This window comes from Homo sapiens, chromosome 10 (genome assembly GCF_000001405.40).
Source record: "Homo sapiens chromosome 10, GRCh38.p14 Primary Assembly".
Taxonomy (NCBI): Eukaryota; Metazoa; Chordata; class Mammalia; order Primates; family Hominidae; genus Homo; species Homo sapiens.
This window is the reverse complement of record NC_000010.11, coordinates 43,639,777-43,663,276: the sequence shown is the minus strand read 5'-3', so window position 1 is coordinate 43,663,276 and position 23,500 is coordinate 43,639,777. Positions and strand designations below refer to the sequence as shown.

The following is a 23,500-nucleotide window of genomic DNA, read 5'->3' as shown; positions in this document are numbered from 1 at the left end:
AAAACCTCATGATGAAATTTGATCCCCAGTGTTGAAGGTAAGAGCCTAATAGAAGGTGTTTGGGTCATAAGGGTGGACCCCTCATAAATAGATTAGTGTCCAGGGGTGGGGCTGAGTAAGTTCCTGCAAAGAGCCTGGCATTTCCCCCTTGCTTCCTCTCTCAACATGTGATCTCTACACACAGAGATCCCCTTCACCTTCTGCCATGAGGGGAAGCAGCCTGAGGCTCTCACCTAATGTTGGTGCCATGCTTCTGGTACAGCCTGCAGAACTGTGAGCCAAATAAACCTCTTTTCTTCAGCTGGGTGCAATAGCTCACACCTGTAATCCCAGCACTCTGGGAGGCTGAGACAGGAGGATCACTTGAACCCAGAAGTTTGAGGTTATAGTAAGCTATAATTGCTTCACTGTATTCCAGGCTGGGTGACACAGCAGAACCCTGTCATTCATAAATAAATCAATAAACAAACAAACAAATAAATAAATAAATAATTTTTTAAACTCTTTTTCTTATAAATTACCTAGCCTCAGGTATTCCTGTATAGCAACACTAAAAAGACTAAGATATGAGCAAATGTGATTTATGTCACTACTGGGCTGTGCACTTAATTGCCAGTATAAGATGTTCCAAAGCTTTCTTATCTCTCTGCCATAGTAACTGGCACTGTAAAGATACTGGCTGCTTTGTCAGCTTGGGTTGCTGAATGTCTACAATGAGTAGAATTCCCTGCAATAGGATAGCATGAGAATGGAATAGAGAAGAAATACACCTTTTTGACTTGTCACTAGGATTTTACTGTTTTTGCTGCAGTATAATCTAATCTACTTTCACTGATACAACTTCTTTGGTGGTAATTTTTAGTGGAGATGTAATTTAGACACACAAAAAAATGCAAAACATTCATTTCAATATGCTTTGGTAATTATATTACTCCTGTGCAATCACTGTAAACAAGAGATGGTGCATGTCCATTACCCCAAGTGTTTCAAGTTCTTTCCAACTAGTCCTCCCACCTTCTTCCATCCCAGAGAAACTATGCTCTGGTGTTCTGATTTCTGTCATCATAGATTAATTTTTCTCTTCCTGAGCTTCATATAAATGGGATCATATTGTCTGTATTTGTGTCTTGCTTTCGTTCAATCCACATAATGTTTTTTTGAGATCAATGTATATTGTGCGAGTCAGGTGAGCATCCTTTTGTTGTTTGCTGACTACTATTCCATAGTATTAATGTGCCACAGTTTGTATATCCATTCTACTATTGATGGACATTTGGTTGTTTTCCCTTTTGGGTTATTCGAATAAGGCTACATTCTTGTGCAAGTCTTTTTGTAGACGTGTTTTATTCCTGTTGGCAAATACCTAGGAGTGAAATTTCTGAACCATAGGGTAGATGTATCTTGAAACTTATAAGAAATTAACAAAAGGTCTCTAAAGTTCTCCAGCCATTTTATACTCCTTTCAGCAATATTTGAGAGTTCAGTGCTATATATTCTTGCCTATATTTGGTTGCGTTGTCTTTTATAATTTTAGCTAGCCCAGACTGCTGTTAGCATTCAGTCCAGAAGCCCTCGGGAGAGAGGGCCTTTGCTTTCTTTCCCAAAAAAGTCTTCCTTAACAAATGGTGCTCAAGCACTGATTATTCACATGGAAAAAATGAACTTTGACCTCTACGTCACTACATACACAAAAATTAAAATGGGTTATAGACCTAAAAATAAAAGCTAGAACCATAAAGCATCTAGAGGATAACACAGGAGATTCTTAAAAAAAAAAAAATTAGAGTAGGCAAAGGGTTCTTAGGACACAGAAACATTAAATCATTAAAAAATGATAAATTTGACTTCATAAAAGTATTTCTCCCAAAATACTTGAGTTATAATTAATTATATTTGAGCACCACCATGCCAGGCTAATTTTCATATTTTTAGTAGAGACGGGGTTCCACCATGTTGGCCAGGCTGGTCTTGAACTCCTGACCTCAAGAGATCTGCTCACCTCACCCTCCCAAAGTTCTGGGATTACAGGTATGAGCCACTGCGCCTGGCTGATTTTCTTTGTATTTTCTAATGCTTTGATCCTTTTTATGTCATAATGATTTACCATATTTTGTAAACATTTTAGACACCAGAAAGTCCCCAGGCAGGACCTGATGGCTCACGCCTGTAATCCCAACACTTTGGAAGGCTGCAGTGGGAGGATCTCTTGAGCCCAGGAGTTTGAGATCAGCCTGAGCAACATAGTGAGATCCTGTCTCTACAAAAAAATTTACAAATTAGATGGTGTGGTGGTATGTGCCTATAGTCCCAGCTACTCAGGAAGCTGAGGTGGGAGGGTGGCTTGAGCCCAGGAAGTTGAGGCTGCAGTGAGCTATGATCTCCACTGCACCCCAGCCTGGGCAACAGAGTGAGACCCTGTCTCAAAGAAAGGCTCCAAAGTCAGAATCTATCGATGAATTCTGTTTTGTATTTTTGTAATTTCTACTTACCTTTGCCAGCTTGACTTTAATAATGGTGAGTCAAATTGTCTAACATATTTTGTCAAATTGCTCCTAACTCTACATCTTATGTCTTTATGTCAAAAAGTAACAAAATTCATAAAGTTTCAAAGACATTATCCTTAATATTGATAATAATTTTTGTTAAATGCTGTTTATACATATTTTGCCAATTGCAGTTGACTAAACCATGCCCTTTTAATATTAATATTGGTGTCAGTGCCTGTGATCCTATTTGGCAAAGGCTTTCTGGTTATTCTGCTGCTGCCCAATGCATATCCCGTCATGAAAGCCTGGTGAGTTGGAAGGAACAAGGTACTTGAGTCAGACCTGGGTAGAATCCCACATCGACTGCTCACTGGTTGTGAGATCTTGGATATGTGTGGTAACCTCTCCAAACCATGGAGGGAAGAACAATGCCTACTACAAAGGATGAAATTATAGATTCTATGCAGCAATGGCTACATACACACATCTGTGACCAAGAGCGACAGACGTGGACTGTTTCCAAGCCCATTTTTTAAATTATATTTATATTTGAGCATAGTGGTGCTCAAATATAAATATAATACCAAACCATCACTATGGTTTGGTATTTTTGAGACAGGTTCTCACTCTGTTGCCCAGGCGAAGTGCAGTGGCACGATCTTGGCTCACTGTAGCTCCGCCTCCCAGGTTCAAGCAATTCTCGTGCCTCAGCCTCCTGAGTAGCTGGGATTACAGGAATGCACCACCACGCCCAGCTAAGTTTTGTATTTTTAGTAGAGACGGGGTTTCACCATGTTGACCAGGCTAGTCTAGATCTCCTGACCTCAAGTGATCCACCCACATCAGCCTCCCGAAGTGCTGGGATTACAGGCGTGAGCCACCGCGCCCGGCCGCAAGCCGGTCTTTAGGGGATTTTGTGTATTCGTTATGGTTTGGAATTTATTGGGTGCCTAATATACACAATACTTGTATATTTTAGACAAGTCAACATTTAGAAGCCCATCCAGAAATCCAGAAAAAGTTCACACAGATGGTGCGGAGTGATGGAGAGAGAAGAAGGAGGTGGCAGATCTACTAAATGATTAACAGGAAAGCTGGAAGGACCCGTGTAGGGAAATCGTGGGAGGTGAGGGAGCCCCCGCCCCATTGGCAGTGCCTACCATGGACACCTGCAGAGCAGGCCCAGCTTTTCATCTTCCTTATCTATTTACTGTCTTGGGATAAGGGAGCCACATTCTTGTTTGCTTCCATCTTTTACTAAGGTCAGCCAAGAAATCAGCCCAGTTTTGATCCTAGAGTTATTATCCTAAAACAGTATCAGTCTCATTTAAAATATATCTAGGCTGGGCTCAGGGGCTCATGCCTGTAATCCAAGCACTTTGGGAGGCCAAGGTGGGCAGATCACCTGAGGTCAGGAGTTGGAGACCAGCCTGGCCAACATGGTGAAATCCCATCTCCACTTTAAAAAACAAAAATACAAAAATTAGCTGGGCGTGGTGGTGGGTGCCTGTAATCCCAGCTACTTAGGAGGCTGAGGCAGGAGAAACATTTGAACCCAGGAGGCAGAGGTTACAGTGAGCCAAGATTGCGCTATTGCACTCCAGCCTGGGTGACAGAGCAAGACTCCATCTAAAAATAATAATAAATAAATATACTGGTAATGAACACACAAAACTTGGTTTGCCCTTTATGGAAGTGTAAGTCTTTAATGATTTTTGGTTTCCCTCCGTCCACTTTCCCACCTGTTTCTATTCTTTATTATTTAGCTCATGATCTTAAACGCTGGTTTAAAATGATACTATCTTCTCTTCCATTACTTACGTGTGTGTGTGTGCATTATGTGTTTTGTATCCATTTCCTTGGCCCTTCCTGTTGGAGTTTAGTGATTTTCCTGAATTCCCCATTACTTCAAGTAGCTTCGGGGCCACCACAAGCTTTCGACACCCCCCATGAGCCTGGGGGTGCTGTTGAGTCACCTGGTGCACATGGCATCTTCTGCTGGCCTCCCCAAAAAGGAGACTCTGAGACAGGCTTGGGGCTAGTCGTTTGGGAAGCACTGTCAGCCACTGAGCAATGAGCCAGAACCAGAAGCTGTGCCACACACAGGTGCAAGAATGAGTGGGGTACCACTGTGGCAAATTGGGTACAATCCCACTGAGGCACTGTAAGAGAACATGAAACACGGCAGGACTGACTCACGGAAAAGGGGGTGAGCTGGGATAGTCCTCCAGGAACTCCTAGTCCTTATCGATGGAAGGTGCCTCCTGGAAGCATTAAATCCCCAGCACCTGAAGCTGGGCACACCCACAGGGCAGGCAAATTCCTGTGGCCACTGAAAGGCCTCAAGCAGGGAGCTCAAGTTCTTGAGGTGGGGAGCCCTCGACATACAGGGACATTGGCCACCAAAGCACAAGGTGAGCTCAAGAGATGTCAGGGGCGCTACCAGCAGCTGCTGCGTGCCATGTTTTATGAAGTGTCAGAGCATGAGGGGCTCTGCCAACTGAACGTGGCTGGGAACGGCTGCCTTATGGTGCCCTTCACCAACATCACAGAACCTAGGCCATGGGAACACCTTCCCAGGAGGACCTCCAGGTATGGACCAATGCCAGGGGCCCAAAACTGAAGTAACAACTTCTCCTTCTGCTGTAGAAAAATTGCAGAAAAATATTGTCTCTAATTTTATTAGAAGTACTTCTAAATGTAAAATGTTTCCAATTAAGTATTTTAAATTTGTATCTCTCTAGGCATTTCTGAAAATGTTATTCGGAAAAATGTAGGAAAATACTTTTCAGCAGCTCTTTTTATGAGTTAAAAACAACTTATTTCAACTCCTAGTGCAATAAATTTTATTTTAAAAGCATTAATAAACTGGCAAGTTCAGAATTAAATACTGGAACAGTTCTAAATCAAAGTTTACAAACATTTGAAATGCTAACAGACTGCAGTACTTTTTAATAGTTGGAACTTTTAGGTAGTTGGAAGGATTTCAGAAATAAAGAGGACAAAAGTACAGAAAAATGACGTGTTCCCATGTGCACATTTACATATTTGCCATATATTGAAACTTTTTAAATGAAAAAAATATGTTCCAAAAAATGCCACGGCATAAAACATTTTCATGGTTAACATCCATTTTTGCTCTGAAAACAGCAGTCTTTGATAATGTAAACATCAATTTAGCCTTCACCCTATAATTTGTCTTTTCTCTTAAGTAAATATTGGTACTTTCTTTCAGAAACTTAATAACCACAAGGCAAGTTCAAGTGCCTGGAAAATACTCTGCACTTGATGCGTCTGGTTCCCATAATGAAAAGATGCATCAATTCAGAGCAAACCTATCATAGAGCTGCGCCTTCAGAAAGATACCCCTGTTGCCAAAATACACCACCACCCCCTCTGGAATTACATAAATGTGTTTAGTGTTCATATGGAATTTTCTAAAAGAAAACAAGTCAATCAAGCTGTTTTGTAGTCCTAAAGAACTTAGGTCTTGGCAGAACACTGGAGACATTTTAAAAGCTCTGGACTTAAGACAGATTCATGAGTGATGGGTCAAGATCAAGGTCTTTACAGACAGTGGATGTACATTGTTTAATCTCCATTGTTTAGAAGAAATCTAGTCCTCGTTATGTTCCCCCTCCTGTGTCCACATGTGCACATACACCCTAGAACTTAAAGTATAATAAAAATATATAAAAAAAAGAAATAAATAAATTTAGAAAAAAAGAAAAGAAGAAATCTAGTGCTCGTTATAAACCCTCAATGCAAGTGAGATAACTTCAGGTCTTAAACTGACCATAGTTCTATTGGGTTCTTATAAATTAAACATGTTGAAGTGCATTTGCTAAATTGAAAATGACACTTTACTAGTGACAATCTCTTGTTTGTCTTGGGAGAAGGGTTATTTTTATCTTCAAGTGCAAAGACATGGTTTCAGATTCAACTTTTTTTATTGTTATTATACTTTAAGTTCTAGGGTACATGTGCACAATGTGCAGGTTTGTTACATAGGTATGCATGTGCCATTTTGGTTTGCTGCACCCATTAACTCGTCATTTACATTAGGTAGTTCTCCTAATGCTATCCCTCCCCCAGTCCCCCACCCCACGACAGGCCCCGGTGTGTGATGTTCCCCGCCCTGTGTCCAAGTGTTCTCATTGTTGAGTTCCCACCTATGAATGAGAACATGTAGTGTTTGGTTTTCTGTCCTTGTGATAGTTTTTTGAGAATGATGGTTTCCAGCTTCATCCATGTCCCTGCAAAGGACATAAACTCATCCTTTTTATGGCTGCATAGTATTCCATGGTGTATATGTGCCACATTTTCTTAATCCAGTCTATCATTGATGGACATTTGGGTTGGTTCCAAGTCTTTGCTATTGTGAATAGTGTCGCAATAAACATACATATGCATGTGTCTTTATAGTAGAATGATTTATAATCCTCGGGTATATACCCAATAATGGGATTTCTGGGTCAAATGGTATTTCTAGTTCTAGATCCTTGAGGAATCGCCACACTGTCTTCCACAATGGTTGAACTAGTTTACACTCCCACTAACAGTGTAAAAGTGTTCCTATTTCTCCACATCCTCTCCAGCATCAGATTCAACTTTTAAAGTCATTGCAAAAGTTAAGGCCAACTGCAAAGTTAGAGAAACAGTCCACAAGACTGCCTTCACTTTTTTTTTTTTTTTTTTTTTTTTTTTTTTTTTTTTTTTTGAGACAGGGTCTAGCTCTGCCTACCCAGGCTGGAGTGCAGTGGCACAATCACAGCTTACTGCAGTCTTGACTTCGCAGCCTCAGGCAATTCTCTCACTTCAGCCTCCAGAGTAGCTGGGACTACAGGCATGCACCACCACATGCAGGTTTTTGTTTGTTTGTTTTTGTTTTTTTAGAGACAGTGTCCCACTGTGTGGCCCAGGCTGGTCTCAAACTCCTAAGCTCAAGCAATCTTCCTGCCCTGGCCTGTCAGAGTACTGAGATTACAGGCATGAGCCACTGCACCCAGCCAAGACTGCCCTCACTTCTGACACTAGCTGTCAATTTGGTGGGGAGGTTCCCAAAACCACCCTCAGATTCAATCATTTGCTAGGAAGACACAGAACCGACTGAGAGCTGCTGTCATTGTAGGTAGGGTTTATTACAGTGAAAGTCTAGATTAAAATTGGCCAAGGGCAGGGTGCAGGGAAAGTACCGCATGCAGTTCCCACTGTCCCCTCCCCATGGAGTGAGGAAGGCGTGGCTTTCCCAGCATCGCTGTGTAACAGTAGGCATGCAGCAGGGCCACCCTGCAAAGCCACTCGAGCATTGGGTCTGAGGTGTCTGCTAGAGTTCCCTCACATGCATGTGACTGATTGTTCCCCTGGCCGATCTCAGCCTCCAGCCTCCTGCCCTCCCGAAGTTGACTGATTCCATGTGACCCCCAAATCCCCCACCCATAGCATGTCGTTACCACCTGGAGTGTCCAGGTCCCATCCTGAGACTACCCAGTGGGGCAGCCCCACCGTAAATCACATCTAGACTACCCAGCGTGAGCCCAGGCCACTGGCAAATGAAGACAATCCTATTAAGCACTATACTCCAAGGGCTTGGAGATAGATCACCTGCCAGAAGCTGAGGACAAAGTCAGAGCTCTTTAGGGCAAGGTTAAACTCCTTACTACACAAATCAGTTGTATGATTATTACAGTCATGTATTTTATATTTCAAGAAATGTGTTTGACTATTGTGAAATAGAGTTGAAGCCTTTCAAACCTTTAAAACCAACAACTATATGTTTTGCATATGTTAAAATAAAAATTATGACATACTTTGGTGATAGCAAATGAAAATAAACTTAATTTTAAGTTTTGCTTGGGACAGAAAAAGAATAAGAAGGCAAGAAGCAAGAAGAGCAGATCATTTGTGTGTCCCTACAGTTATCTTGCAGTTTACCATCATTGCTACCAACAGATTTTATTTTCTTCTTTAAAATGAGAAAATGCCACAGATTCAAAGAGATTATGGAGACACAACAAGTGGGTGCAATGTAGGATCCTGGATTGGATCCTTGGAAAGAAAATGATCGTTAGGGGGGAAACTAGTGAAACACAAACAAGGTCAGCAGTTTACTATTAATTATTACCATGATGCCTTTGGGAAGCCGAGATGGGTGGATCATGAGGTCAGGAGTTCAAGACCAGCCTGACCAACATAGTGAAACCCCGTCTCTACTAAAAATACAAAAATTAGCTGGGCATGGCAGCGGGTGCCTGTAATCCTAGCTACTCGAGAGGCTGAGGCAGGAGAATCACTTGACCTGGGAGGCAGAGGTAGCAGGGAGCGGAGATCACGCCACTGCACTCCATCCAGCCTGGGAGACAGAGCAAGACTGTCTCAAAAAAAAATAATAATAATAATAATAATAATAATTACCATGATGCATGGTACCAATGCTAATTTTCTGGTGTTATTATAATTCTGTGAGTTGTTAATATTAGGGGAAGGTGAGTGAAAAATATATGTGAATCCTCTGCATTGTTTTTGCAACTTTTCTGTAAGTCTAAAATCATTTCAAAATGAAAAGTTAAAAGAAAAAAGTTTAAAATGATCTGTCTCTGCATATTCAAGGATTCTCAATCATTTTCATCTTTTTGGAGATCAACCAACTCTTTGATGAAAAGTAGGTACCTTCAGCCAACTCTTTGATGAAAAGTTATGTACCATCTGTCCTAAAGAGCCTCAAGTCCACTTCATAGTTTGGATGTTTGTACCCCAAACCTTATGTTGAAATTTGATCCCCATGTTGGAAGTGGTGCCTCACAGGAAGTGTCTGGGTCATGAGGGCAGATCCTCATGAATAGATTCATGCTCTGAGTAAGTTCTCACTCTATTAGCTCCCTTGAGAGTTCCCCCATTAGCTGGTTGTTAAAAGAACCTGGCACCTCCTCTGTCTCTCTTGCTTCCTCTCTCACCGTGTGATCTCTACACACCACTCTCCTTCACCTCCCGCCAAGAGCAGAAGCAGCCTGAGGCCTCCCCAGAAGCAGATGTTGGCACCAGGCTTCTTGTACAGCCTGCAGAACCATGAGCCAAATAACCCTCTTTTCTTTATAAATTACTCAACTTCAGGCATTCCTTTATAGCAACACTAAATGGACTAAGACATCCACTGTTGCCATTTCATCAGTTCACAGACCCACGTGGAGCCCATCTGTGGGCCTCAGTGAAGAACCCTAGCTCCAGGGTCCACAGCTCAGGACTCAGGTGTGAGAGGAAGTAGCATCCAACAGTTGATCTGATGAGGAACACCTAGTTCCCACTTCAGCTAAGGAAGGAGACCACCCTTCATATTGTCTTATGCCCAATTTCTGCCTCCAAAGAAAAAAGCAGTGAAAACTAAAAGGCAGAAATGAAATCCACAGGCAGACAGCCCAGTGCCACACCCTGGGCCTCATAGTTAAAGATCGACCCCTGACCTAATCGGGTTATATTATCTATAGATTACAGACATTGTATGGAAAAGCACTGTGAAAATCCCTGTTCTGTTATGTTCCGTTCTAATTACCAGTGCATGCAGCCCCCAGTCATGTACCCCCTGTTGCTCAATCGATCATGACCCTCTCACGCGGACCCCCTTAGAGTTGTAAGCCCTTAAGAGGGACAGGAATTGCTCACTAGGGGAGCTCAGTTTTTGAGACGTGAGTCTTGCCGATGCTTCCTGCTGAATAAAGCCCTGCCTTCTTTAACTCGGTGTCTGAGGGGTTTTGTCTGCAGCTCATCCTGCTACACAGCCACATTCATGTCTCCAGCCTCTGGCCACGTGGGAGACCTTCCTACAAAATGGGAGACAGGAATGCAGGACTTCATGCTCCTCCATGACATTTCCTCAAAAGGTTCATTATGAAAGCACAGCAATCACGTGCACAATACAGGGCACATAGTCTTTGTGAGCTGAGGAGCACCATAAATACATCCTAAAGGGGTCCTGACTGCAGCCCCACTAAGTGACACCAAACAGGGTAATCAGATCTGGGTATCAGAGCCTCTGCAGGAAATGTTGGCTTAGCCCACAGTGCTGAAAACAAATGCAAATTTGTACTAGGTGTGGGTCATCTGCTCCACCCCACACTTTCCCTCCCACTTTCTGGCTTATAAACAATTCCATCAAGAGGTTAAAGAAGGGCACAGCTGGCTAAATGGTAGAAATGAAAGGCAAGACCCAAAATCTGCCTGAAGCTTGCAGAGATAGCTTCCATCAGTATGATTTTTATATGAATAGTTGTGGGAGTTATGAGGGGACAAGAGTAACGATGCACACACTAGGCTCATGAAGGCCAAAGTCTTCATATCCTGAGTTTATAAATCAGGTGCTAGTGAAATCAAACACAAGACACATTTGCTCAAAAGGACAAAGGCGGCTTCAGAGAAAAGGAATGGTTTGTCCAAGGAGAATCCACGATCACTTCCAGCCCTGAGAAATGGCTAGCACATCAGGAAATGCTTGGACAGCTCTAGCCCAGGTTCAACAACCTTTCCAAAGAATCACACTAAAGCACAGATCCCTTTATCCTGGGGGTCCAGCTGCCCAAGCTTGGCCACCAAGACAGAGGGATCTGCAAGAAAGCTGACTTTCTCCAAGCACTGCTCCATAATGGACAGAGTGAGAGGAGAGTGTGGAGTGGACAGAAGGCTCGCACAGTGCAGTGAGTGTGCAGAGCACTGAGGAAGGAGGAACACAGCCAGTGGGGACTGAAGAGGCCTGCATTTCTGACAGGGACTGGAGTAGACACAGATGGTAAGCACGATGGAAAGTGTTCTGATCAACCCCCTACCCCAGGAGGGTGGGCTCTCATTCTACCACTCTAGACCCAGGTGCAGTCATGCGCCGCATTATAACCTTTCAGTCAACGACTGGCCATATATACAACGGTGGTCCCAGAAGATTATACCACCATATTTTTACTATAGCATTTCTATGTTTAGATACACAAATACTTGCCATTGTGTTACAATTGCATGCAGTATTCAGTACAGTTACTAGCATGTGACTGTACTGAATAGAGTCTAAACCACTGAGCCTTACACTGAGTCTTACACTGAGTGTGTAATGGGAGGTACCATCTAGGTTTGTGTAAGTACATTCTACGATGTTCAAAGATGAAATTGCCTAACGATGCATTTCTCAGAAGGTGTCCCCATCACTAAGCACCAAATGACTGTATTTGTTCAGAACTATGGCAGCAAGTGAAGACTTCAGCTTCCCTAGACCTTCACAGTCTCATGGAAACTTCTAGGGCAGCCAATCCTTTCAAAGGAACTAAAAGTCCTTTCAAAGCCAATAATTCACTTCAGCAACCTGGACCCTAAGGCTTTCATTCCACAATTAGGATACAATTATCTGATTATTTTTCCCCAAAGAAAAAATTCTAGAAGGAATATGTGCATTTTTAGGACTTTTGGTATGCACTGCCAAATGTCCTATCAGAGCAGTCATCTCAATTTACACACGGACAGACATGTCCACTTCCCCAGTCTCCTTTGCAATCTTTGCCATTTAGTACTTGGGAAGTAATTTTCATTTGTTTCAATTGGAAATTTTATAAAATGAATAATGAATGTATTTTCCTTTCATTTGTGTGTGTGTGAGTTGCTGTCCTTTGCCACATTTCTAGTGAACTGTCTTTTTCTTATTGATTTGTATGGTGTCTTTAAGTATGACGATTGCTAATATTTTCCCAGCTTGTCACATGTTAACTTCATTTAGTGGTACTTTGGCCACACAGAAGTGCTGGATTTAAATCTTCTTCCTTATTGTTTCTGCCTTTGTTACATTGGTTAAGAAAGCCTTCCCTGGCAGAGCTTGCAGTGAGCCGAGATAGCGCCACTGCACTCCAGCCTGGGCGACTGAGTGAGACTCCATCTCAAAAAAAAAACAAAAATGAAAGCCTTCCCTATGACAAGATTATAAGAAGATTAATCCATGTGTTCTTCTGGGCCTTTGTGGCTCTGTGTTTCCCATTTTACATTAATCCATCTGGAGGTTCTCTTGGCATGGGAGTTAGGTAAACATTCAACTCCCCGACCCCACCAATGTCTAGCCCTTGTCATAACACCATTTATTGAATTATCTGTCCTTCCCCTAATATTTTGAAATGCCTGCAAAGTGAGGAAATTGTTCTTTGGTAATTTTTCAAATCTACACTGCGGATGATTTCCCTTTCACCCTCACCCCACACCCTCCCTTTTGTTGAGTATTTGCCTTAAGATGCAGGTGGTGGGTGAGGATGTGCCCCATTTTGCAGCTGGGCAGTCTGTCTATGGAGGCTGGGGTCACATCAACCCCAATCCTAACAGCTTTCTCCCCTGCTTTGGGCCCTTCAATGTGTCCACTTTCCTGAGACGCCTTAAGGGAATTTATGCAGATCTATAAAAGTGACGATGGTCCCCCCTCACAGCCACCTTTTCCCACCAATGCTTTGTCATGTACCTTCACGGCAGGATCTGAAACTTGTCCTAGTGTCCACAGCCGGTCTTGACCTTAACAGAACCTATGTACCCTTGTGTGAAGCAGAGGCCGCAGCCTTAGGACTCTGAGCCTTGGCCTTTGCTGTGTGCCGCCCTCCACCCCTTTCTCAGACTTGGGAGGAGTGAGGAGAGGAGCCACCTGGGGCAGTTCAGGAATGGGGAGCTTCAGGACAGTTTGCACCACACACTCTGGGACTTAGCTGTGCAACACCCCGACCCCCATGTGAGGAAGGTGGTGTTTGTTTGCTCCACCAGACTGTCAGCTCCTCCCTAGGAGCACGGAGTGTGTCTTGCTCACATTCGTATCCCCAGTGTCAGCACTTAAAATGGATTCAACGGATAAATGTTGAATGAAATTCAGAAATGATGTGCAATAGTAAAAGCTAACATTTAGGAATCAACTTATTACTTACAGACACCTTTGCATATTGAGTGAAATTAAGTTGTTTGATTTAACAAATCTGTGGCTTTGGGGTAGAGAACAAGAACATAGCAAGAGGAAGCATTCTTTATTAGTCCTTCACGAAAGAGGATGGACAGACACATCTACGGAGAGGGGCTCCAGAGGCAGGGACCCAGAGATACACCCGGCCAGGCAGAACAGCTCCAGGATGTGGCCCCGATCCTGGAAAAGTGCGTTTAAAAGAGGCTTAAGGCATATCAGACAGCCTGGCCAACATGGTAAAACCTTCATCTCTACTAAAAATACAAAAAAATTAGCCAGGCATGGTGGCACAGACCTGTAGTCCCAGCTACTTGGGAGGCTGGGGCAGGAGAATCACTTGAGCCCAGAAGGCGGAGGTTGCAGTGAGGCGACACCGTGCCACTGCACTCAAGCCTGGGAGACAGAGTGAAGGAAAAAAAAAAACAGGCATTATTAGAGAGGCTTTATCTCCTACGTGTTCAAAAGCAACCATGCTCCTCCCAGTATCTCAGGACGACTGGACTGCCTGTGTTCCTGTTGCTCTTCACAGAAGCTCCATGAAAGCGGGCTTCGCTTTTGTTCATGCAGCCAGAGGCTCAACACATGACCTCGAAGCCGCCAAGGCTTTATCAAACGGATTTCTCCCAAAAACTTCGTTTCCTTCCGCGACGCCCTGCAAGAACCCTGTATTCCTGAGTCCCTGGCTCAGCGTCTGCTACCCCGATGCTGTCAATCAGATCCTGCTAATCTGAGCGGCCGTGGCTCCGTCCCGGCTCCGCGTCCGCTGACAGGTCACCGCTGTGAGTCTCCGGATTACCAGTCCAAACGGGACGGCTTGAGGTCCCCGCGCCCTAGGGACCTGCGGGGCCCGAGCGCAGGGCGCGCCAGAGAACTACATTTCCCACAGAGCTCTTGGGAAGCCGGGGCCGCCGAGACCCACGGCCCGGCGGGCGGGCTCGCGGGGAGACTCCTGGGAGTTGTAGTCCATTCCGCCGGCGCCGGCGCTGGCGCTGCTGCGGGCTCGGCGCCGGCCTTTGTCTGCGGGCACGCGCCGCTGCGGTGAGTGAGGCCGCTGGCCGGGTCAGAGCGCCGGGGCAAGGCGGGGCTGCGCCATCAGACCGCTGTCCCGGGCCCTCCGTGTGGCCGCCTTATGCCAGCGGCCGCCAAGGAAATGAGCAGGCCTGGCCGGCCCGGGCCCCGAGGGAGGCCAGCCGCGAGCGGAGAGGTCGGCGGTCCGCAGAGCAGGGTCCCGTGGACCGGAGAGCGGGATGCCGAGGTTCAGGACGCAGGGCGGGCCCGGTGCCCGGGGCCCGGGGCCTGAGGCGGGAGGGCAGCGTCTGCGGAGAGGAGCAGGGCCCATGGCGTCGGGGCGTGGGAGGGGGAGGCCGCGGCAGGCTCACCCGGCCTCCGTGCGGGCTTCAGCGAGTGCGGGAAGCCGGTGCCGGCCTTCCGGGGTGGGAGGAGAGGCAGCCCCTGCGGGGGAGAGTAGGAAGCCAGGCAGCGTGTGGGAAACCACGCTACCCACAAGCTCCTAAACCTGAAACTGGCCCCAGGACATTTTCCAGACCGCCAAGTGTACCCCTCTTCTCATCCGCCCTCCAGAGGACGCCGGATTTTAGATCTTAAGTCTGGTGGTCTCGTCTGATACTCCTCTTGTTTGGTTCTTTCCTTCTCATTGTCCTACCTGATAGGACAGTGTTAGTAACCTGTTTAATAAGTGGGGAAGCAGAGTCAGGGCTGCTGGGTTACTCGCCCAAGATCATATCCTGGGGGAGCCACGGCAAGAAGCCAAGACTCACGGACTACTTCTAAGCTTTTTCCAAAGGATATAGTAGCCTTTCTAATAGGAAAATCAATGTTTTTAATTATAAAGCCACTTTTACAAAATCTTGGGGAAACTGCTTCCTCAGACCTGTGATCTAGGGAGAAAAATATGACAATTTCTCCCTTACTAATCACGGAGGTCCCTGATAGGCGGCGGAGTTGTAACTTGAAGACCTCACAGCAGGTGGAGAGGCAGAGCTGTGAATTCTACTCTAATTTCTGGAATCCCCGGCGACAGAGTCCAACCCCAGGCAGCAGGCGCCATGTACCCCAGGGACTTTTAATGTGTGTGCAGCTGTTGAGCAAGAATACCTTGAACTTCCAAATGATGTGCTGGCATGCTGGTAGGGAATTCCTTTGCAGCTTGTGTTCCAAGTTGGAAGTGAGTCCTCCAAATAAAAATTTAAATGATTCTCCTGGTCATCACAGCATGTAGCAGAATGTGCAGTTGTCAAGAAGAACCAGGTGCTTAGGTTGACAAAACAAAGAATGGTAGCATCATACTATTATTTCATTAAATCAGAAGGCCAGCATTTTGATAGGACAAATTAGAGGGAAACAAGGAGTATGCATTGAACCACTGCATTTCTTAAAAGTATAAGAATTCAGTAATTAGGATCCTGAAGTAAGAAGAAATATTTTTTTTAAAAAATAGATCATGTGGGCCAGGTGTAGTAGCTCATGCCTACATGTCTTGGGAGGCCGAGGCAGGAGGGTCACTTCAGGCCAAGAGTTGGAGACCAGCCTGGGCAGGATAATGAGACCCGATCTCTACAAAAAAAAGTTAAAATAATTTTTAAAAATTAGCCAGGCTTGGTGGTGCTTACCTGTAGTCCTAGTTATTTGGGAGGCTGAAGTGGGAGGATCCGTTGAGTCCAGGAGTTCAAAGTCACAGCAAGCTGTAATTGAGTCACTGTACTCCAGCCTGGGCAACAGAGCAAAATCTTGACTCAGAATTTTAAAAAAATTAAAAAATAATTTAGAGCACATACAAGAGGATTCCTAGGATCTGAAAGAGCACTTCAATCTGGTCAAACTCTCTTCCTTTCTGTTCAATTTTATAAGCATTCTGACCAGCTCTTTAGTGATTAGGAACTAGACAACTGTCTAATGTAAGAGCATACATTTTGGATCCAGAAAGTCTTGGATTTGAACCTTTGCTCCACTTTGACTCCTTATTTTCTGTGGGTTTCTGGGCAAGTTACTTAACCTAGTTGGAGTGCCTTGGGCTTGGAGTCCAGAGTAGGTCTTTCTTTTCCAAGAATTGACAAGTGTTTACACTTGGTCAGAACTGGTATTCTTGTATCTTCAAGAGCAAGAGAAAGGCGAGTCTGGGTCTGGAGCCTCCTAAGAATTGTTCAGTGGTAACAAATGGACTCTCTTGTTAAGTCTTTGTAACTACAGATAACTGGAGAGCTGATTGGCTCCAACCAATCATGAAGGCTGAAATGTTGTTTTCTTAGATTCTGAATTCCTCTGGGGCTTGGAGGGAAGAAAGTAGTAGGTGGTTAGGTGGGGAACCAAAATGGAAGATCCCAATTACATGCCAAGACCAAAGTGTAAACAGGAGTGACTATTAACTTGGGATTGGCAGGAAGAGATATATGTTTATGTGTTCTCTGCTTTCCCACATCCTGCTTCCTCCTAGACTCATTTGTGTGTGGTCCTGGTACCTTTGGGCCCATTTTGCAGTGATATTTTAGTAACTGACATTATGTCAAACAATCTAGGTTTCTTACATTCACTTATGTCTCAACAACTGTTGACTTTTTCCTTCTCACATATCAATTATTCTGCCCTTTCCTGTTTGTTTCTGTTTGTTTTTCTCCCTCAGGTGCTCAGGAACAGCCCATGGAAGAATCATATGAAGAGGTGGTGACTGAGGTCGTAAGCAGGAGTGGACATGTTTGGATTTCCAACAGCTACCCTGCTGGACTGTCATGGAAGATATGCCCAGAATGTAGCGTTCTTCAGTGAGTGAGTCAGTTGATGGCTGGATGCGCTCAGCTCACAGATATTCAGTGTCCCTGTTCTCAGCACTGGTCGGCAGTCTGAGGAAGCAGAGGAGACCTTGCTTTGGTAGAGCTTGCTGTTCCTAGGGTTATAAGAAAAGCCTGTGAGCTGGAGTTAGAAGTAATAGTAGAAACAGAGCAAGAGAACCATCTTGATATGGAGGTAGCGTTGAAGTAGTCTCTGAGAATGAATGAGCAGCTTAAATCTCAGCACTGTCTCTGAATAAGGCAAGGGAACAAGGAGAAGATTACCCTGGAGTGACAGACACCAAGAAAACTGTTAATGGTGATGAATGGACCCATATTTAAAGTGCACCAGGAGGCTCAGATGCAGGGCAGTATTCGGAAAAAAAAAAGTCAATATCTGCATAGAGAATAACTTCCAAACCAAAATTGATTTCAGTTTTGCCATAGCTTAGTAGACTGAAAATAGCAAGGATTTTAATGGGAAAAATTCCTTGGATCAGATTCTATAATTGCCATGGCTAGATCTGCAGTATCAGACAGGTTATTTAACTTCCTTAAGCTCCAGGTTCGTCTGTAAAATAGGACAATAAGTTCTATCTTGTAGGGTTGCAGGGATTAGCAATGATAGATGTAAAGTACCCAGGATTGTGCTACATATTTTCTGAGGTCATGGTGCTTATTCTATTGTCAGAACAGATTGGACAGAGGTGGATTTCTGAAGAAGCAAATGCAGCTTCAGTTTTAGGACCCCTCACTTGGATTGGTCTCTCCAAGACCCTGTGCTTAATTTTATACATTTTCTTAAAAGGGTGCCTCTAAAATGGGAAAGTTTTAGGCCTTATATAGCCTGGATCCACACCTGTTTTGGAGTCAGATAAAAGTTGGGTATGGGGCTCTGTGTGATTCTGTATAGTTTTCTAAATTTTCTGAGCCTGTTTTCTGACCTGTAAAATAGAGAAAACCATGTCTATCTTACAAGGTTATTTGTTGGCCTAAATTAAATTTAGAGGCAGTACACTGCTATGGAGAATGCCTATTTGAGTCAGCTCTAACTTACCTAGCTCTGTGACCTTTGACAGGCTCCCTTTGCTCCCATTATCTGTATCACTCTCATGGCATTGTTTTCAGGATTGCATTGTCTATGCAAAGAATAAGGCCTGGCACATCATAAGCACTCAAAGTATTATGTTTCTTTTTCCCTATTCTAACTCAGCATTATTGGTGCTTCTTATATGACTTCCCTCTCATTTTATCAGATGTGATGACTGAAGCCCACCACAAATATGACCACTCTGAGGCTACAGGATCCTCAAGCTGGGATATCCAAAATTCTTTCAGAAGAGAGAAGCTGGAACAAAAATCCCCAGATTCGAAGACACTACAGGAAGATTCACCTGGAGTGAGACAAAGGGTCTATGAGTGCCAGGAGTGTGGAAAATCCTTCCGGCAAAAAGGTAGTCTAACGTTACATGAGAGAATCCACACTGGTCAAAAGCCTTTTGAGTGCACCCACTGTGGAAAAAGCTTCAGGGCCAAAGGCAATCTTGTTACACATCAACGGATACACACGGGAGAGAAGCCTTATCAGTGCAAGGAGTGTGGGAAAAGCTTCAGTCAACGAGGTAGTCTCGCTGTCCACGAGAGACTCCACACTGGACAGAAACCCTACGAGTGTGCTATTTGTCAGAGAAGCTTCAGGAATCAGAGTAACCTTGCTGTTCACAGGAGAGTTCACAGTGGTGAGAAGCCCTATAGATGTGATCAGTGTGGAAAAGCCTTCAGTCAGAAAGGAAGCTTAATTGTTCACATCAGAGTCCACACAGGCCTGAAGCCCTATGCCTGTACCCAGTGCAGGAAGAGTTTCCACACCAGGGGGAATTGTATTCTGCATGGCAAAATCCACACAGGAGAGACACCCTATCTGTGCGGCCAGTGTGGAAAAAGCTTCACCCAGAGAGGGAGTCTGGCTGTGCACCAGCGAAGCTGCTCACAGAGGCTCACCCTTTGACCACTTTCCTGAAGAGAAGTTCTCTTTATGAATTAAGAGTACAAAATCCTCTGAGATGAAGCAACCTATCCAGTTCTATGGAATGAATGGAGAATCTTTCAGAAAGACCATCATTGGGTAGGGCAAACTGATTTTTTTCCTTTCCCCCAAAAGAGTATGAAAAATAAATGTCTTGTTTATTATCATTATCATGTATGTTTTATAATTTCTGTCACTTTATTCTGACCTGATTTTTCAAGGTACCCCCATTAATCTGGTGCCACACTAGAGATTGTTCTGTGTATACCCAATACAGATTTTAAATTTGTAGTTGACACCATCAGGCTTTTATAAATGTAAAAAATCAGCCCCTCATCAATCCCAAGTTATTTTTCTTCCTTACATATTCAAATTAATCTTGTTTTGCCTTCAAAACCACTGGGCAAAATCCATGGGGCAAATCTAGTTACCTTTATAATCTTCTTGTTGAACATTTCATTACCTGGATGATACCCCCAATAACCTATTGTAACTAATCACTCATGTCTATAGCAAGGGGCCTAGCCTTTTATTACAAAAGAAAATTTCTTTCCAAGCCTGCACAGCCTTAGTTTGTGCATTGAGACATACTTCAGTCCTCCACTCCTAACTAGGATAGAGATAATTCACCTGTAACCAAAGAGCAAACAACTACTGTCTGTGCAATTTTTAAAAATCTTTAACCCATTTCTCCCCATCTACTAAAGGGACTCCTACATTTTCAGAGACCTTCACTCCCTCTTTGGTAACAGCAGCAATATCTTGGGGTTGGGTTATCTAGAAAGGATATAAGTGTTATTACTGAACCCAGACTTGTAGTTTGTAGTCAATAATGAACTTCCACTTTCCAACAATACTATCCTCTTCCTCCTGCACACACACCAAGAAATTTGGAATTCTAACCCATCCTTTTTTCTGACCTCCAGGGGATGAGATTTGAAGAAGGCTGCAGAGGAGAAATTGGTTTTGAGGGGAAATTTCCATTTCCATTTTTTAAAATCTTAGCCATCTCTATAATTTTTCATACTGAGCATTTATGTAAGTGAAATGATGAATGATAGAGATTTTGGTTTTCTTGGTAAGACACCATTCCATCCTTTCTAGTGGATCCTATAAATCAGTGGTCCCCAACCTTTTTGGCACCAGGGACCAGTTTCATAAAGACAATTTTCCCACAGAGGGGGATGATTTTGGGATGATCCAAGCACATTACATTTATTGTGCACTTTATTATTATTACATTGAAGTATATAATGAAACAATTATAAGGTACTCACCATAAGGTAGAATCAGTGGGAGTCCTGAGCTTGTTTTCCTGCTACTAGACAGTCCCATCTAGGGGTGATGGGAGACAGTGACAGATCATAAGGCATTAAATTCTCATAAGGAGTGCACAACCTAGATCCGTTGCATGCACAGTTCACAATGGGGTTCACACTCTTATGAGAATCTAATGCTGCCACTATCTGACAGGAGGCAGAGCTCAGGTAGTAATGTGAGCAGCAGGCAGCAGCTGTAAATACAGATGAAGCTTCGCTTGCTCTCCCACCACTCACCTCCTGCTGTGTGCCCCAGTTCCTAACAGGCCACAGACTGGTACTGATCCATGGCCCAGGGTTGGGAACCCCCTGCTATAAATTATTGCTTCCTTAATCCCAAAAAGCTTGTAATAGTAAATCTTTACCATGTAGAGAGGTAAATTTCAAAGGTCTTTGAGCACTGAAACAATTTGGAAACACTGGATTCTAATAATACAAAAATATTCCAAAGATACCACAATAACATTTGAAGCTGTATACAAGAATGTTCATGTCATCTTCATTTATAATAGCCACACACTTAGAAATGTCCAACAATGGGTGAGGGATAAAGAAACTGTAGTATATCCATACAGTGAAATACAACTCAGCAATAAAAAAGAACATACACGTGGTACATCAACAATATGGATGAATCTGAAAGTTTTATTTGAGTTGAAGAAGCCAAATACACAAATAGTATAATTCCACTTATGTGCCTTCACAGAACAGGAAAAACTATGTGTGAGGATTGACTTGAAAGGCACGCAAGGGAAGTTTACAGAGTGAAAACAATGTTCTGTACCTGACATCAGGCAGTTGATGCAGGGGTCTAAACAATTACCAAAATTCATTGAACTCGATGCTTAAGATCCGTGCATTTTATTACATGTAAGATATACTTCAGTAACCATGAAACAGTATAAATGTATTGCCCACAAGCTCTTTGACACTCATCCCATGAAGAGATGGGGGGTATGTCACCACCACTTGAATCTGGACACGCTTGTGACTGCTTCAAACAATAGAACACAACAGAAATGATACTACACCAAGTATAGTTCTGAAAAGCCTCTAAAAGGTCTGAAAAATTTCTGCCTGGTTCTCTTGAGACACTTCCTCTCAGGTGAAACCAGCCCATGTAAAAAGTCCAGTTATCCTGAAATCACTGTCATGGACAAGCTGCATATAAATGCTCCAGCCAACAGTTTCAGCTGAGCTCCCAACAGCCTGCCAGCCATGTGTGAGGGTCATTGTAGGTTTCCGGCCCAGTAGAACCTTCACATGACTGCAGCCCCATCTGACATCTGGCCAAAACTGCATGACAGACTCCAAAGTGAGACTGCCTCACCTAATCCCTGACAAAATCATGAGAAAAATGAAACATTATGGTTGGATACCACTAAATTTTCAGGTAATTTGTTATGCAGCAATAATAGAATAACTTAAGTACTTTTTAAGGATAAGCCATTGTAAAATTTATATATAGGAAAAATCTGAGGCCAGGCACGATGGCTCACGCCTGTAATCCCAGCACTTTGGGAGGCCAAGGTGGGTGGATCACCTGAGGTCGGGAGTTCAAGACCAGCCTGACCAACATGGAGAAACTCTGTCTCTATTAAAGATACAAAATTAGCCAGGCATGGTGGCGCATGCCTATAATCCCAGCTACTTGGGAGGCTGAGGCAGAAGAGTCACTTGAACCCAGGACGCAGATGTCACAGTGAGCTGAGATTGCACCACTGCACTCCAGCCTGGGCAACAAGAACAAAAACTCTGTCTCAAAGAAAAAAAAAAAAAAGAAAAAGAAAAACCTGGGGAAGCAACTTGATATTACCTCACTGGCTAAATCAAAATAGGAAATTATGGTTTATGATTCATCAGAAAGCTTAAGGTTTAAAAATAAACATTCTCTTTGACAAAATAAGAGGCATGGTATAGGTTAGTTAACTGAGATCTAATCCAAGTTATAAAATGAAGAAGTAGATGCTGGACTCCAGCAGTACTGCACTATAAGAAATGTAAAAATATATGCCTATATGTATACTTATACTTTCAGAACCTCAAATATATATATGTGTATATATAGATAGATATAGAGAAAGAGCTATATAGATATATATAATCTTAAAAGCATAGTTCTGCAAAAAGGAATGAGTAAATAATAAAGAGTAAAGAGGTCAGAAAATATATCATTGGCCATTGGTGATCAACTAAACCTTTAGACCCTCTCCCCTCCCTGTGGTAGGGGGGTGCTGAAAGTTCCAGTCCCCTAATCCTACTTTGGTCTTTATGGTGACCAGCCCCATCCTGAAGCTACCTTGGGGCCTCTGGCCATAGTCATCTCATTAGCATAAAAAAGACACTCTTATCACTCAGGAGATTCCAAGAGAGTTAGAAGCTGATATGTCAGGAAATGGAGACGAAAACCAAATATATAGGCCAGGGTACGGTGGTTTATGTCTGTAATCCCAGCACTTTGGGAGGCTGACGTGGGTGGATCACTTGAGATCAGGAGTTCGAGGCCAGTCTAGCCAACATGGTGAAACCCCATCTCTACTAAAGATACAAAAATTAGACAGGAGTGGTGGTGGACACCTGTAATCCCAGCTACTTGGGACTCTGAGACAGGAGAACCACTTGAATCCAGGAGATGGAGGCTGCAGTGAGCCAAGATTGTGCCACTGCACTCCAGCCTGGGTGACAGAATGAGACTCTGTCTCAAAAAAATAAATTAAAATTAAAATTAAAAAATATATATATAATGCAATATCACAGGTCCCAAATACATAAAGCAAAAATTGAGAGAACAAAGGAAATATAGACACCACCAAAATCCCATAGTTAGAGATGTTGACACCCCCTCTCTCAACAGCTGGTAAAATTAGGGAAAAAAAAACAGTAAGGATATGGAAGATTTGAATAGCACTATCAACCAACTTGATGCCATTGGTATT

General features: G+C 43.5%; 1 protein-coding gene and 3 long non-coding RNA genes across 10 annotated transcripts in view, besides 2 other annotated features; 1 reads left to right on the top strand and 3 right to left on the bottom strand.

Moving 5' to 3' along the window:
• The window catches only part of ZNF32-AS3 (ZNF32 antisense RNA 3), a 45,883-nt gene that overhangs the window by 11,423 nt on the left and 10,960 nt on the right, over window positions 1-23,500 (bottom strand). The gene's annotated exons all lie outside the window — the stretch shown is intronic.
• Window positions 14,371-14,890: a silencer, noted in NCBI's record as "silent region_2336". NCBI's record gives its function as "represses an Ori minimal core promoter by ATAC-STARR-seq in GM12878 lymphoblastoid cells {active_cell/tissue: GM12878}" and the evidence as "EXISTENCE:reporter gene assay evidence [ECO:0000049][PMID:35858748]".
• On the top strand, window positions 14,396-19,415 carry ZNF32 (zinc finger protein 32). Of its 7 annotated transcripts, none has more exons than NM_006973.3 (3): window positions 14,396-14,475; window positions 17,075-17,213; window positions 18,476-19,415. In NM_006973.3, the coding sequence occupies exons 2-3, from the start codon at window positions 17,144-17,146 to the stop codon at window positions 19,225-19,227; spliced, it is 822 nt and encodes a 273-aa protein (NP_008904.1). In that variant the 5' UTR covers window positions 14,396-14,475; window positions 17,075-17,143; the 3' UTR covers window positions 19,228-19,415. The 7 variants fall into 7 exon arrangements, with proteins under 7 accessions (NP_008904.1, NP_001311096.1, NP_001311095.1 ...); NM_001324167.2 differs by having other exon boundaries at window positions 17,075-17,217; NM_001324166.2 differs by having other exon boundaries at window positions 17,075-17,221.
• Window positions 15,258-17,335, bottom strand: ZNF32-AS2 (ZNF32 antisense RNA 2). Its single transcript, NR_047558.1, has 3 exons — window positions 16,980-17,335; window positions 16,068-16,165; window positions 15,258-15,708 (listed from the first exon to the last, which is right to left on the bottom strand). It is a non-coding gene; the product is annotated as a ZNF32 antisense RNA 2 (long non-coding RNA).
• Window positions 16,442-17,641: an enhancer, noted in NCBI's record as "CDK7 strongly-dependent group 2 enhancer chr10:44141084-44142283 (GRCh37/hg19 assembly coordinates)". NCBI's record gives its function as "activates an origin of replication core promoter dependent on BRD2, BRD4, P300/CBP, MED14 and CDK7 cofactors, with strong dependence on CDK7, by STARR-seq in HCT116 cells {active_cell/tissue: HCT116}" and the evidence as "EXISTENCE:reporter gene assay evidence [ECO:0000049][PMID:35650434]".
• On the bottom strand, window positions 18,230-19,405 carry ZNF32-AS1 (ZNF32 antisense RNA 1). The gene is made up of 2 exons (NR_047557.1): window positions 19,170-19,405; window positions 18,230-18,427 (listed from the first exon to the last, which is right to left on the bottom strand). It is a non-coding gene; the product is annotated as a ZNF32 antisense RNA 1 (long non-coding RNA).

Excerpts from the sequence above, each read along its gene's own strand:
- ZNF32 (NM_001324164.2), top strand. The coding sequence starts at position 17,238 with ATGCGCTCAGCTCACAGATATTCAGTGTCCCTGTTCTCAGCACTGGTC. Across the intron at positions 17,320-18,475 it reads GCAGAGGAGACCTTGCTTTG|ATGTGATGACTGAAGCCCAC; the intron begins GTAGAGCTTGCT and ends TCATTTTATCAG.